At 38.8% G+C, this 13,306-nt stretch overlaps 1 pseudogene, besides 1 other annotated feature; it reads right to left on the bottom strand.

Annotated features, from left to right (window-relative positions):
* Positions 2,143 to 2,673: an enhancer, noted in NCBI's record as "NANOG hESC enhancer chr10:118301731-118302261 (GRCh37/hg19 assembly coordinates)". NCBI's record gives its function as "activates a minimal SCP1, AML or CMV promoter by ChIP-STARR-seq in naive H9 embryonic stem cells {active_cell/tissue: H9 hESC(naive)}" and the evidence as "EXISTENCE:reporter gene assay evidence [ECO:0000049][PMID:30033119]".
* On the bottom strand, positions 6,616 to 6,709 carry RNU6-1090P (RNA, U6 small nuclear 1090, pseudogene; annotated as a pseudogene).

The raw sequence follows: 13,306 nt of genomic DNA, 5'->3' as shown, positions 1-13,306 counted from the left end.
CCTCCTCAGGCAATCTTCCCCAGCCATGGTTAAGCTGGTTCCCTTGTTCCCTCTAAGGAAGGTTCTTTTTAGAACTTCTCTCACTTAAGACTGATCATTTGTATATTATAAACTCAGAGAAGGCTGGAATGCTCAGGGCCTTGTTGTCACATCCTAGCACCTAGCCCAGTGCTTGATACACAGCAGGCCTTCAAAACATCTCTGATGGATGATTGAACAAATGGAATGAATATGAAAAGCAAAGCAATTTATTTTGCATAATGGCTGCAATAATAATTGTCTCCACAGTCTCATAAGTAAAAAGCTGTTGAAATTTCTTTTATTCAAAACATGTGGAAAAAAAAATCCAGAAGCCTCTAAAAACAGAAGTCTTGCATCTCTCTAGTATTTAGTGATGGTAATGCTACATTGATCTCAGAGTCATATCCTATGACAGTCATTGTTTCCTCTGGTTTTACCATGAAGTTATTTACATTTTGTGTGAGTTACCAAGTAATTCACACAAAGTTTCTAAGTTGTCATTTTAGATGGCACAAAATGTAATCCATAATTAGGGGGACATTTGTTTAATATAGTATAAAGAATTAGGATCAATAGTCACCAAATTCTGAAATAGTGAAATCTGTGGGGATATTTTGTAAACTAAAATAAGTTCAAATTTTATAATATCTCAAGAAGATTCAACTTCTCAAATTTATAAAAGCTAAGAACGGAATGGTACATAATCAGCCGTCTATTACATCTGCTCTGGATGAATAACTTCCTCTATACATAATCCTGTTGAACTCTTAAGCTGGGTTGTGAAATGTTATAAACTACATTGTTTCATTCAGACAACAATGTACTATCTAGAAGCGTCTATTTTCATAGTATGTGTGGCAAAGTTGCTAGCATCTTTTTTTTTTTTTTTTTTTGAGATGGATTCTCCATCTGTCCCCCAGGCTGGAGTGCAGTGGCGCGATCTCAGCTCACTGCAAGCTCCGCCTCCCGGGTTCATGCCATTCTCCTGCCTCAGCCTCCTGAGTAGTTGGGACTACAGGTGCCCACCACCACGCTTGGCTAATTTTTTGTATTTTTAATAGAGATGGGGTTTCACCGTGTTAGCCGGGGTGGTCTTGATCTCCTGACCTCGTGATCCATCTGCCTTGGCCTCCCAGAGTGCTGGGATTACAGGCGTGAGGCACCGCACCTGGCCTTGCTAGCGTCTTTCTACAGGGAATAGAACTAGACTCTATTCTCTGTCCTCCCTTGCAGGGAGATGGGGTCATGTAACCAGTTCTCTGGCTACAGAGATGTGAGTGCGTGGATGTGCACCCCCGTCAGTCCTGTTCCTAAAAACCCACACAGTGGCTGGTCGTGGTGGCTCAGCTCTGTAATCCCAGCACTTTGGGAGGCCGAGGCGGGTGGATCACAAGGTCAGATCCAGACCATCCTGGCCAACATGGTGAAACCCCATCTCTACTAAAAATCCAAGCAAATTAGCCGGGCGTGTTGGCGCACGCCTGTAGTCCCAGCTACTCGGGAGGCTGAGGCAGGAGAATCGCTTGAACCTGGGAGGCGGAGGTTGCAGTGAGCTGAGATCAAGCCATTGCACTCCAGCCTGGCAACAGAGCAAGACTCCGTCTCAAAAAACAAAAAACAAAAAAACCCACACATGGTCCTCCATGTGCCATGCCTTCTGTGGCTTGATGCAGACAAATACAAATCCTTAAAGGCCATGTGTTGAAGCTGGTAGAAACACAAGATGGAAGGAACCTGGGATCCCTGCTTAATGGAACACTACCCACAATCACAAACATCCATTTTAAATTGTACGTGAGCAATAAATGAATTATTATCTTAAGCCTTGAGATTTAAGGGTTATAACAATTAACATTATCTTAACCAATAGATTATTTATTATAGAATGTTTCTTCTACTTCCATGAACAGTCCATGTATCAAACATTAAATGCCGGGCTAAAAATTTCAACATGAGATTTGGATGGTACTTACGGATAACACTAATGCTTGGACAGATTTTTTTCTAATACTTGATTTTTTGAAAATCCCTTTCCTGCCACTTCCCATATCACAGAATATAAGTGCTCAAGTATTCACTTTATTGTGGTAAATTTTAAATTCTAATGGGCATTTTTCAGTTCAGTCCCTAGTGGTGACTATTGTTCTACCTTCAGTCTGAGCCCGTATGATACCCACAATTTAGAGAAAATTCACCCAGTGTTGCCTGGGTCCCTAGACACAACTGATCTGAACTTGGAGCAGCTCAATGTTCTTGATACATAGGAGACCCTGCAACACCAGAGGCAGATTGGAGCTCCCATCAAAACCCTACTTTCTACCAGCCTCTGTCACTCCTCACATCTCAGGATTGCAGGCTTGACAAGAAGCTGTTCAAATGGTAATGAAGCATTGAGAGTCCTCACCCTACTACCTCATGGCATTGACAGCCAAGATGGGATCTCACTGAGAATTAATTCCATGTGTCCTATTTACCAATGCATTATATAACATCAGTTCAACTTTGCCCCAGAAACCTTGCACATTTGAAAATAAAAATGCCAAACTTGGATGCTTCTAATCAAATTGCAGCAGAGTTAAATATTGGTTTAAGTTTAGGCTCTGCTTCTGACAACCTTGTGATACTAAACTCCTGGTGAGGGAAAGAAAGGTTTCAGAACACCTGTGTGGCCAGATAACCAGCATGTTAGCCAAAGGAGGTCTCATTTACTTAACCTTCAGAGAGCCTGTCCTGCTTCCCTTTATCTAGCTCAGCCTCTTTCCAAGATCATTGAAGGTGAGGAAGACATGCTCTCTGGAGTATCCCAAACTTCCCTGAGCAGAAAAATACTGTGAAGTTCTGGGGGTGGTTAATTGCTTCACACCTTCTAGAGAGCAACCATCCTGCCAAATGTGAGTGGGTCACACTTTCACTATCCAGGCCCAAGGCGTGAACGTATAGTCAACCCTCTTCTGTTATGCATAAAGATGGTTTTCTTTGTGGCCTAGAATAACAAGCATACCTAAAATTTTATAGCATTAATTATTTAGGTTTCCACACTTTTTAAGTTTTTGCCTTTAATCTCCCACCAAACTTAAAGGATTAGCTGTTTTCCTTATGAAGTCGGTGAGACATGAGTTTAATCAACCTGCCCAGGAACACACAGTTGGTAAGTAGCAGAGCTGTCAGGAGGGACAATTTCTTCTCACCATTTCCAAATGACTTGTTTGTGTCAATCCACGGAAGGCCATCTTTTCCCAGGCTGTGTTAGTCTAGCCTTGGACTAAAATATAGTCAGGAATGAATACCAGGGGGCATTAGTATGTATATACAGGTGTGTAAGACTGGGTATTTGCTTTCCAAAACAAATTCATGCAAATACGCTTTGTATAGCCTATTTTTTTGTTTTATTTATAGTCTGCTTTCCAATACTAATGTAGTAAATGGTAATTTTATCAAACAGAAATACAACTTTTGTGATACTGAATATGACAAATCATGTCTTTCCTGAGCCATCACAGTAGTCTAACTGCCTTCCTTGCCCTCAGACTGTTCCTTTTCTGTCTGTTCTCTATACACTGTTAGAAAGTCAGTTCTAAAATGCAGACTGGTCATTGTACTGTCTTTCTTAAAACCTCACTTCCCTTCCCCTCTCTTGTGCTTTCTAGATTAGCACTGCCCAATAGGAATATAAGCAAGCCACATTTAAAATGCAAAAAGAAACCAGTGAAAATAATGTTAACGATTTTTATAATTCAATACATACAAAATATTATCATATCAATATTAACATGTGGTACTAGTCACATGTCAACTGATCAATGGTCATATGTGGCTAGTGGCTGCTGTAATGTATTGCACAATTCTAGATTAACTTTACTCTCTTTACATCACAAATACAGCTTTACAGATCTGCTTAGCTTCTCTGTGGTTTCCGGTCAACCCTGTTGTATACCCACTTAGCCCATCTTCCACCCCTTATGAGCTTCTTTCAAAATATGCACTCTCAATGGGTTTGGAATGGGAGACAACTGAAAGTACTAAAGAATGGAATAACAAACTTTTCCAGGTGCCAATGAACAAGAAGAGAGAGTAAATAGGAAGAGTTGCAAAATTCAACAGACCCAAAGATCACAGCATGACTATTGAGAGGTGTAATGAAAGTGAAAAAAGAGAAAGCACAAAAGAGAAAAGTCAAAAAGAAAAAAAAATCGACTAACAATAATTTGTACCAAATATATATATTTGTTCCATACCTAAGATGTTTGAGGCACCAAACAATTATGAATTATACAAGGAGGCTCACAAAGGGGCAGGCTAAGCCAGAGGTTGTTATTCATGCGCATTCCACAACTACCCTTGTAAGGCATGAAGCAAAGTCTCTTTCAAAAATTATAAGCTGAGGGATTTACACTTCTAGCCATGATGGGGCAACTGGCTTCAGACTTGCTCTTTTACCATAAATAATTAAAAGTCTGGAAAATATATATGAAGTTTCCCAAGATTGGACAATAAGCAATGCAAGACTAAAATAAGTGAAAAAGGAAAACAAATGAGGTGAGATCACCAATTACTTCAGCTATATGTCTGGAGACATTTCCAGGACCCTAGCAGAGAGAGGGAGAATCTGAGAAGAGAAAGGTAGACTCAACAGGCTGAGGAGATGAAGATCAGATTTCAGTGAGGCCAAAGTATTTGGAATGAGCAGAGCAGAGTACTGAAGAGGAGAAGCTACAAATATGAAAAGCTCCAGAAACTGGCACAGGAGTCCACTTGAGTCCTTGAATAATACTAACATGCTTACAAAGCATAAGATTCCATGAGACTGGTCAGATAACAACCATATGAGAAAGAACAATTTGCTGGTGGACTTTGTAATCCAAACAACTCCTGGAGCTCACACATGATGGAAGACATTCGGTCCAACAGAGTAAGAGATTTTATTGTATAATCAGAGCATTTAGTAGACACCCCCAAAAGGCCATGCTTTAGGAGGACTAAAATATCCCTAGAATAAAGGTTAATCTCAATCTGCCATAAGAAAGCATAAAAACAAATCTTCAAGCATCAATCTGATCTGCAAAAATGTAAAATTATTGGTATTCAGTATCCATTATCAAATTATTTGGCATACAAAGAAGCAGAAAAATATGACTCACTAGTCAATAGAAGGAGACCTAGAATTGATAGGGATTATAATATTAACAGATGAGTACTTTAAAACAGCTATTATAAATAAGATTAAGAGCTAAAGGAAAACATAGGCATAATGAGAAGACAAATAGTAACTATTAGGCAAGATTAGCATATTAAGAAATACAGAAGAGAATATCAGAAAACTGAGACATGGCAATAGAAAAACCATTCACACTGCCAAGTTCAGAGAGGGGAAAAAAGGGCTGAAAAATCTGCAGAGTCTTCATGATCTTTGGGGTAATAATAAGCAGTTTCACATGCATCTAATTGCAGTCCTGGGTCAAGTGTTAAATAAAATTGGAGAAATCATGGCTGAAAATATCCAATATTGATTTGTAAAAATGAATCTATGTATCCAAGAAGTTGAACAATATCAAGTAGGATAAATCCAATGAAAACCAAAAAAAAACACAAAAAATGGTAAAACTGTGAAACCCAATAATAGAGAAAAAAAAAACTTAAAAGCAGACAGGGGGAGAAAGATACAGGGAAAACAAAGAAGGAATGACTGCAGACTTTTCAATGGAAACAGCAAGCCAAAGACAATGGAATGGCTTACAGTAGTTCCCCTTTATTCATGGGGAGTATATTCTAAGACCCCAGTGGATTCCTAGAACTGTGAATAATACTGAACCTATATATACTATGTTTTTTCTATACATACATAACTATAACAAAGTTTAATTTATAAATTAGGCACAGTAAGAGAGTAACAACAATAACTAATAATAAAATAGAACAGTGTACGGCCATAAAATTGATGTACATGTGGTCTCTCTCACTTTCTTTCCATCCCTCTCTCTCTGTCTGTCTTAATAACTTATTATACTCTACTCACCCTTCTTGTGATGATATGAGATGATATAATGCCTATGTGTGGTGATAAAGTGAGGTGACTGACATAGGTATCACTATTCTTGTGATTGAGGGCCATTATTAAGTAAAATGAGGCTTAACTGAACAACAGCACTGGATACCACAACAGCTGATCTGATAACCAAGACAACTGATTACCAAGTGACTAATGCCTAGGTAGCATGTCCAGCCTGGAAATGCTGGACAAAGGGATGATTCATGTCCCAGGCAGGAGGGAGTAGGGCACTGTGAAATTTGATCATGCTACACAGAACAGCATGCAATTTAAAATGCATGAATTGTTTATTTCTGGAATTTTCCAGTTAACATTTTTGGACTATGGTTGACCATATGTAACTGAACCTGCAAAAAGAGAAACATGGATAAGAAGGGACTACTGTATTTAGTGTGCTGAAAGTCACAGACCTAAATGTAAAAGCCAAAACCAAAATCTTCTAGTAGAAAATAGAGGAGAAAAATATTTGCTACCTTAGAATAAGCAAAGATTTCTTAGACAAAACATAAAAATCACTCTATAAAAAAACAGATAAACTGGACTTTATGAAAATTTAAAACCTACTCTTCATCCTTGTGCAGGGTCATGCTAATCTTCTCTGTATCATTCCAATTTTAGTATATGTGCTGTCTAAACAAGAACTAAAACCCTATTCTTCAAAAGATATTGTTAAGAAAATTTTCATTGCCTTTTCAGGCAAGACACAGACTTGGAAAAAGTGTCTACAATACACTCCTAACAAAGAACTTGTATCCAGAATATAAAAATAATTCTTACAAACATGATAGTAAAACAAACAACCTACAAAGATAGAAAAATATTTAATCAGGCCGGGTGCAGTGGCTCACTCCTGTAATCCCAGCACTTTGGGAGGTCCAGGTGGGCAGATCACACGGTCAGGAGATTGAGACCATCTTGGCCAACATGGTGAAACCACATCTCTACTAAAAATGCAAAAATTAGCTGGGCATGGCGGCACGTGCCTGTAATCCCAGCTACTTGGGAGGCTGTGGCAGTACAATTGCTTGAACCTGGGAGGTGAAGGTTGCAGTGAGTCAAGATCATGCCACTGCACTCCAGCCTGGTGACAGAGCTAGACTCCATCTAAAAAAAAGAAAGAAAAAGAAAGAGAAAGAAAGAAAGAGAGAGAGAGAGAGAAAGAAAGAAAGAAGAAAAATATTTAATCAATAACTTCACAAAAAAGATGCATAGGTGGCTAACAAGCATGCAAAAATACGCTCAACACCTTTAGTCATTGGAAAAATGCACAACAGAATCACAAGGAAATATTACAGCCCAGTAAGATGGCAAATATCTGACAATTCCAAAGGTGTAGAACAATTGGAAATTTCATAAAGTGCATAAAGTGCTAGTGGGAGTATCAAATTGACAAACAGTTTGGAAAAGTTTGACAGTTTCCTATAAAGGTAAACGACACTTACATAAAAAACAGCAATTCCACAACTAGGTATAAGCATATATCCACAAAAAGACTTTTCCATGAACAGTCATAGCAGCTTTATTCATAATAGCCCAAGATGAAAGTAACCCAAGTGTTCATTAACTAAACTATGACAACATTAAATACAGCAGTCTGTTTTTATTAATGGTTTCTCTTTCTGCAGTTTCAGTTACCTGTGGCCAAACACAGTTTGAAAATATTAATTGGAAAATTCTAGAAATAAAATAAACACTTCATATGCTTTAGATTGCATGCTCTTCTGCGTAGCATTATCAAATTTTGCACTGTCCTACTCCCTCCTGGCTGGGACATGAATCATCGCTTTGTTCAGCATTTCCAGGCTGGACATGCTACCTATGTGTTAGTCACTTGGTAATCAGTTGTCTGGGTCATCAGATCAACTGTTGGGGTATCCAGTGGTTTTGTTCAGGGAAGCTTTGTATTACTTAACAATGGTCCTAAGTCACAAGAGTAGTGTCATAGTTGTTTGTGTCCATGTGAAAACCACATAATCATCCTGATAGATGCAGAAAATATTTTGATAAAATTAAACATCCATTCATGTTAAAAACCCTCAATAAAATAAGTATTGAAGAAACATATCTCAAAATAATAAGAGCTATCTTTGACAAACCCATGGTCAACATCATACTGAATGGACAAAAGCTGGAACATTTCCCTTGAAAAGTGGAACAAGACAAGGATGCTCATTCTCACCACTCCTATTCAACATAGTTCTGGAAGTCCTAACCAGAGCAATTAGGCAAGAGAAAGAAATAAAAGGTATTCAAATAATGAGAGGAAGTCAAACTATGCTTGTTTGCAGAGGATATTATTCAATACCTGGCAAACCCCATGGTGTCTGCCCAAAGGCTCCTTGATCTGATAAACAACTTCAGCAAAGTTTCAGGATACAAAATCAATGTACAAAAATCAGTAGCATTCCTAACACCAATCACATTCAAGCTGAGAGCCAAATCAAGAGTGCATTCCCATTCACAATAGCTGCAAAAAGAATAAAATACCTAGGAATATAGCTAACCAAAGACGTGAAAGACCTCTCCAACGAGAATTAGGAAGAATCAATATTGTTAAAATGGCCATATTACTCAAAGCAATTTACAGATTCAATGCTACTCCTATCAACATTATTCATGTAATTAGAAAATTCATATGGAATCAAAAAAGAATCTGAATAACCAAGTAAGTCCTAAGCAAAAAGAACAAAGCTGGAGGCATAACATTACTTGACTTCAAAATATACTACAAGGCTACAGTAACCAAAACAGCACGGTACTGGTATGAAAACAGACACATAGATCAATGGAATGGAATAGAGAACCCAGAAATAATGCTACACGCCTACAACCATCTGATCTTAGACAAAATTGACAAAAACAAGCAGTGGGGAAAGGATTCCCTATTCAATAAATGATACTGGGATAACTGGCTAGCCATATGCAAAAGATTGAAACTTGATCCCTTCCTTATACCGTATACCAAAATTAACTCGAGATGGATTAAAGACTTAAATGTAAAACTACAAAAACCCTGGAAGACAGCTGAGAAAATGTCATTATGGACATAGGACATGGCAAAGACTTCATGATCAAGATGCCAAAAGTAATTGCAATGGAAACAAAAATTTATAAATGGGACCTAATTAAGCTAAGAGCTTCTGCACAGCAAAAGAAACTATCAACAGAATAAACAGTCACCCTACAGAATGGAAGAAAATATTTGCAAACTATGCATCCCACAAAGGTCTAATATCCAGAATCTATAAGGAACTTAAACAAATTTACAAGCAAAAACCAAACAACACTATAAAAAGTGGGCAAAGATTATGAACTGACACTTTTCAAAAGAAGACATTCATGTGGCCAACAAGCATAGGAAAAAATGCTCAACATCACTAATCATTAGAGAAATGCAAATCAAAACCACAATGAGATACCATCTCACAACAGCCGTAATGGCTATTATCAAAAAGTCAAAAATATCAGACAGATATTGGCGAGATTGTGGAGAAAAGGAAATGCTTACACACTGCTGGTGAAATGTAAATTATTCCAGCCATTGTGGAAAGAAGTTTGGTAATTTCTCAAAGAACTTAAAACAGAATTACCATTCGACCCAACAATCCCATTCTTGGGTATATACCCGAATGAATATAAATCATTCCACCATAGAGACACATGCATATATATGTTCATCGCAGCACTATTCACAATAGCAAAGACATGGAATCAACGTAAATGCCCATCAATGGTAGACTGGATTAAAAAAAATGGTACATATACACAATGTAATACTATGCAGCCATAAAAAAGAATGAGATCATGTCCTTTGCAGCAACATGGATGCAGCTGGAGGCCATTATCCTAAGCAAACTCACAAAGAAACAGAAAACCAAATACTACTTATAAGTGGGAGCTAAATTTTGAGTACATATGGACACACAGAAGGGAACAACAGACACTGGTGCCTATTTGAGGGTGGAGGGTAGAAGGAGGGTGAGGATGGAAAAACTGTATCTGTTAACTATGCTTACTTCCTGGGTGACGAAATAATCTGCACACCAAACCCTTGCAACCCAGTTTACCTGTATATTAATAACAAACCTGCACATGTACCCCTGAACCTAAAATAAAAGTTTAAAAGTAAACAAATAAGAAGTAAAAAATAGCAACCATAAAAAGGAATGAAAGCATGTCCTTTGCAGCAACATGGATCAGCTGGAGGCCATTATCCTAAGTGAATTAACACAGAAACAGAAAACTGAATACCACATGTTCTCATTTATAAGTGGGAGCTAAACCTCAGTGACTCGTAGACATAAAGATGGCAAAAATAGACACTGGGGACTATTAGACAGGGGAATGGTGGGGGGCAAGGGTTGGAAAACTGACTGTTGGGTACCATGCTTAGTACCTGGGTGTCGGCATCACTCATACTCAAACCTCAGCATCATGCAATATAACCAGGAAATAAACCTGCACATGTATCCCTGAATCTAAAATAAAAGTTGAAAAAAATTATGCAATATTCATACAGTGGAATACTACTCAGTTATATAAAGAAATGAACTATGAGTACATGTAGCATCATAGACAAATCTCAGAGATATTAAACTAAATGAAAGAAACCCAACAAAAAGAGCATATAACTATATTATTAGGCTTCCATGAAGTTCTAAAACAGGCAAAACTAATGTTAACTACAAAGAACAGATCAGTGTCTGTCTAGGGTTGAGGGTGAATTAGGGGATTATTTATAGGGCGCCTGTAATCCCAGCTATTCGGGAGGCTGAGGCAGGAGAATCTCTTGCACCTGGGAGGCGGAGGCTGCAGTGAGCTGAGACCCTGCCACTGCACTCCAGCCCGGGCGACAGAGTGAGACTCCGCCTCAAAAAAAGAAAAAAAAAGAAAAAAAAAGAAAAGTGCCGGGCGCGGTGGCTCACGTCTGTAATCCCAGCACATTGGGAGGCCGAGGAGGGTGGATCACGAGGTCAGGATATCGAGACCATCCTGGCTAACACAGTGAAACCCCGTCTCTACTAAAAATACAAAAAAAAAAAAAAAAAAAAATTAGCCGGGCGTGATGGTGGGCGCCCGTAGTCCCAGCTACTTGGGAGGCTGAGGAAGGAGAATGGCGTGAACCCGGGAGGCGGAGCTTGCAGTGAGCCGAGATCGCGCCACTGCACTCCAGCCTGGGCGACAGAGCGAGACTGTGTCTCAAAAAAAAACAAAAACAAAAACAAAAAAAATGACTGATAGGATTTGGATGGGAGTTGGGTAAATGCAGATGAGTTAAGGATGACCCCCAAATTTTGACTTGAACAATGGGAAAGCTGGAATTGCATTAACTAAGATGGGGAAGGCTGCACGTCAGTGGAGTAGGCTTGGGGTGGAGATCCGAAGTTCAGTTTTGGGCATGGTTAAAATTAAATGTCTTCTTAGAGTCTAAGTGGAGATGGAGAGGTGGCAGTTATCTGTAGCTCAGAAGAGAGGTCCATGTAAGAAATACCAACTTGGGTTTTACATAAAGCCATTAGTGTAGATGAGATCTCTTAGAAAGATGTTTCTAAGTACTAAATACTGAGGCTCTGCAATGTTACAAGCACAGGGAAATTAAGGATTTGAAAAACAGCATCCAGTGAGGACAGAGGAGAACCAAGAGAAAGTGGTGTCCTGGAGACAGAGAGAAGAAAATGTTTCAAGGAGGTGAGACAATCAAAAGACTCAGAGGTAAGAAAGGAGTTGACCGTAAGAATGGGGAACATGAGTGAAAACAGTGATTTGGGTAGGCAGAGGTTAAGAGAGATTTCTATTGAATTTACCATTTTCACTATGTCTTTCAACATTCAATCAGGAACATGAAGCATTTACTTGATCATCAGTTGGTCTCTGAGATTTAGAATTCTTTGCCACCTTTTATATCTTAACAGCCACATTCTTCCCTGATGCAAACACAGTTGGGGTTCTAAACCTGCAGATCCCAGGGCCTTGTTTTCAGTCTGTGTTATGGCTCACAAAACAATGTTTAATTGTGAAAATTCAATGATCAAGTAGACAAAATCAAGTAGACAAAAAAGAGTGTAAAGCACTCTTCCTTGTGCCTTGTGTGCCAGGAACCAATTCCAAATCTGCACGAATGGGGCCATCCGATTGCAATGTGAGACATCTCTCCAGCACACTCTGGGGAGTAATTTTAAACAATATGCCAATGATACCATGTAACGTTTAAGGTGGTCATCTGATAAGGGAATTTGGCTGATAACTCATTCTTCCTTTTCTCTCGCAATATCGTATCATTATCATTTTGGCTGGTTTTATAGCTTCCGTGTGACAGCATGATTTGCAAGTTTCCACTACAAGAAATGTTAAGTTTGAATAATGTCTGTGTACTCTTGGGTTGATTTTCACTGTTAGCCACAAAATTAATCAATTTTACTGAGCTTGGGACCCTTCCAAACCTTGCCCTGTGTGTCTCTTCATTTAACTGTTTCATTTGTATCCTTTAAATTATTCCTTGTAATCAGTGGCTAAACTAGAAAAAAAATTAATTCATTTCTTCTTGCAAAGCATTATTTGTTGTTTGTTCTGGAAAAAAAAGTGACTAAATTTATTTATCTGAACAGTCTCTAGTATTATTCAAAATATTATGAAAACAGCAACATCATCAACTCCACTTAGGATAAATATTCATGACAAAAGCAAGGCAGACTGGGAGTAGTGGGCAGGACACTACAGGACAAATGAATATGGATCTACTGTCAGCCAAGTTTAGCTCATCATTGCTGTGTACCCTGTTAGCACCATCCCATTTTCCGCTTGTTTCAAGACAGAGATTCATATGGGGGATTCTCCTTTGAGTCTTGTCCACTATTTAGGTTATGAACTTATTGTTCACTATTTAGGTTTCTGAGCTAGGCTATTTTTTTACTGTTTTTATCACTGTTTTTTCACTTTAATGAACCACTTGAAGCCATTGATTCTTTTTTTTTTTTTTTTTTTTCTTGAGATGGAGTCTTGCTCTGTCGCCCAGGCTGGAGTGCAATGGTGCGATCTCAGCTCGCTGTAAGCTCCGCCTCCCAGGTTCAAGCAATTCTCCTGCCTCAGCCTCCCAAGTAGCTGGGACTACAGGCACCCACCACCACGCCTGGCTAATTTTTTGTATTTTTAGTAGAGAAAGAGTTTCACTTTGTTAGCCAGGATGGTCTCAATTTCCTGACCTCGTGATCCATCTGCCTCGGCCTCCCAAAGGGCTGGGAT

The sequence above is a fragment of the Homo sapiens genome, chromosome 10, assembly GCF_000001405.40.
Source record: "Homo sapiens chromosome 10, GRCh38.p14 Primary Assembly".
In the NCBI taxonomy this organism is placed as follows: domain Eukaryota; kingdom Metazoa; phylum Chordata; class Mammalia; order Primates; family Hominidae; genus Homo; species Homo sapiens.
Note: the sequence above shows the minus strand (reverse complement) of the source record. Positions and strands in the feature narration are given on the sequence as shown.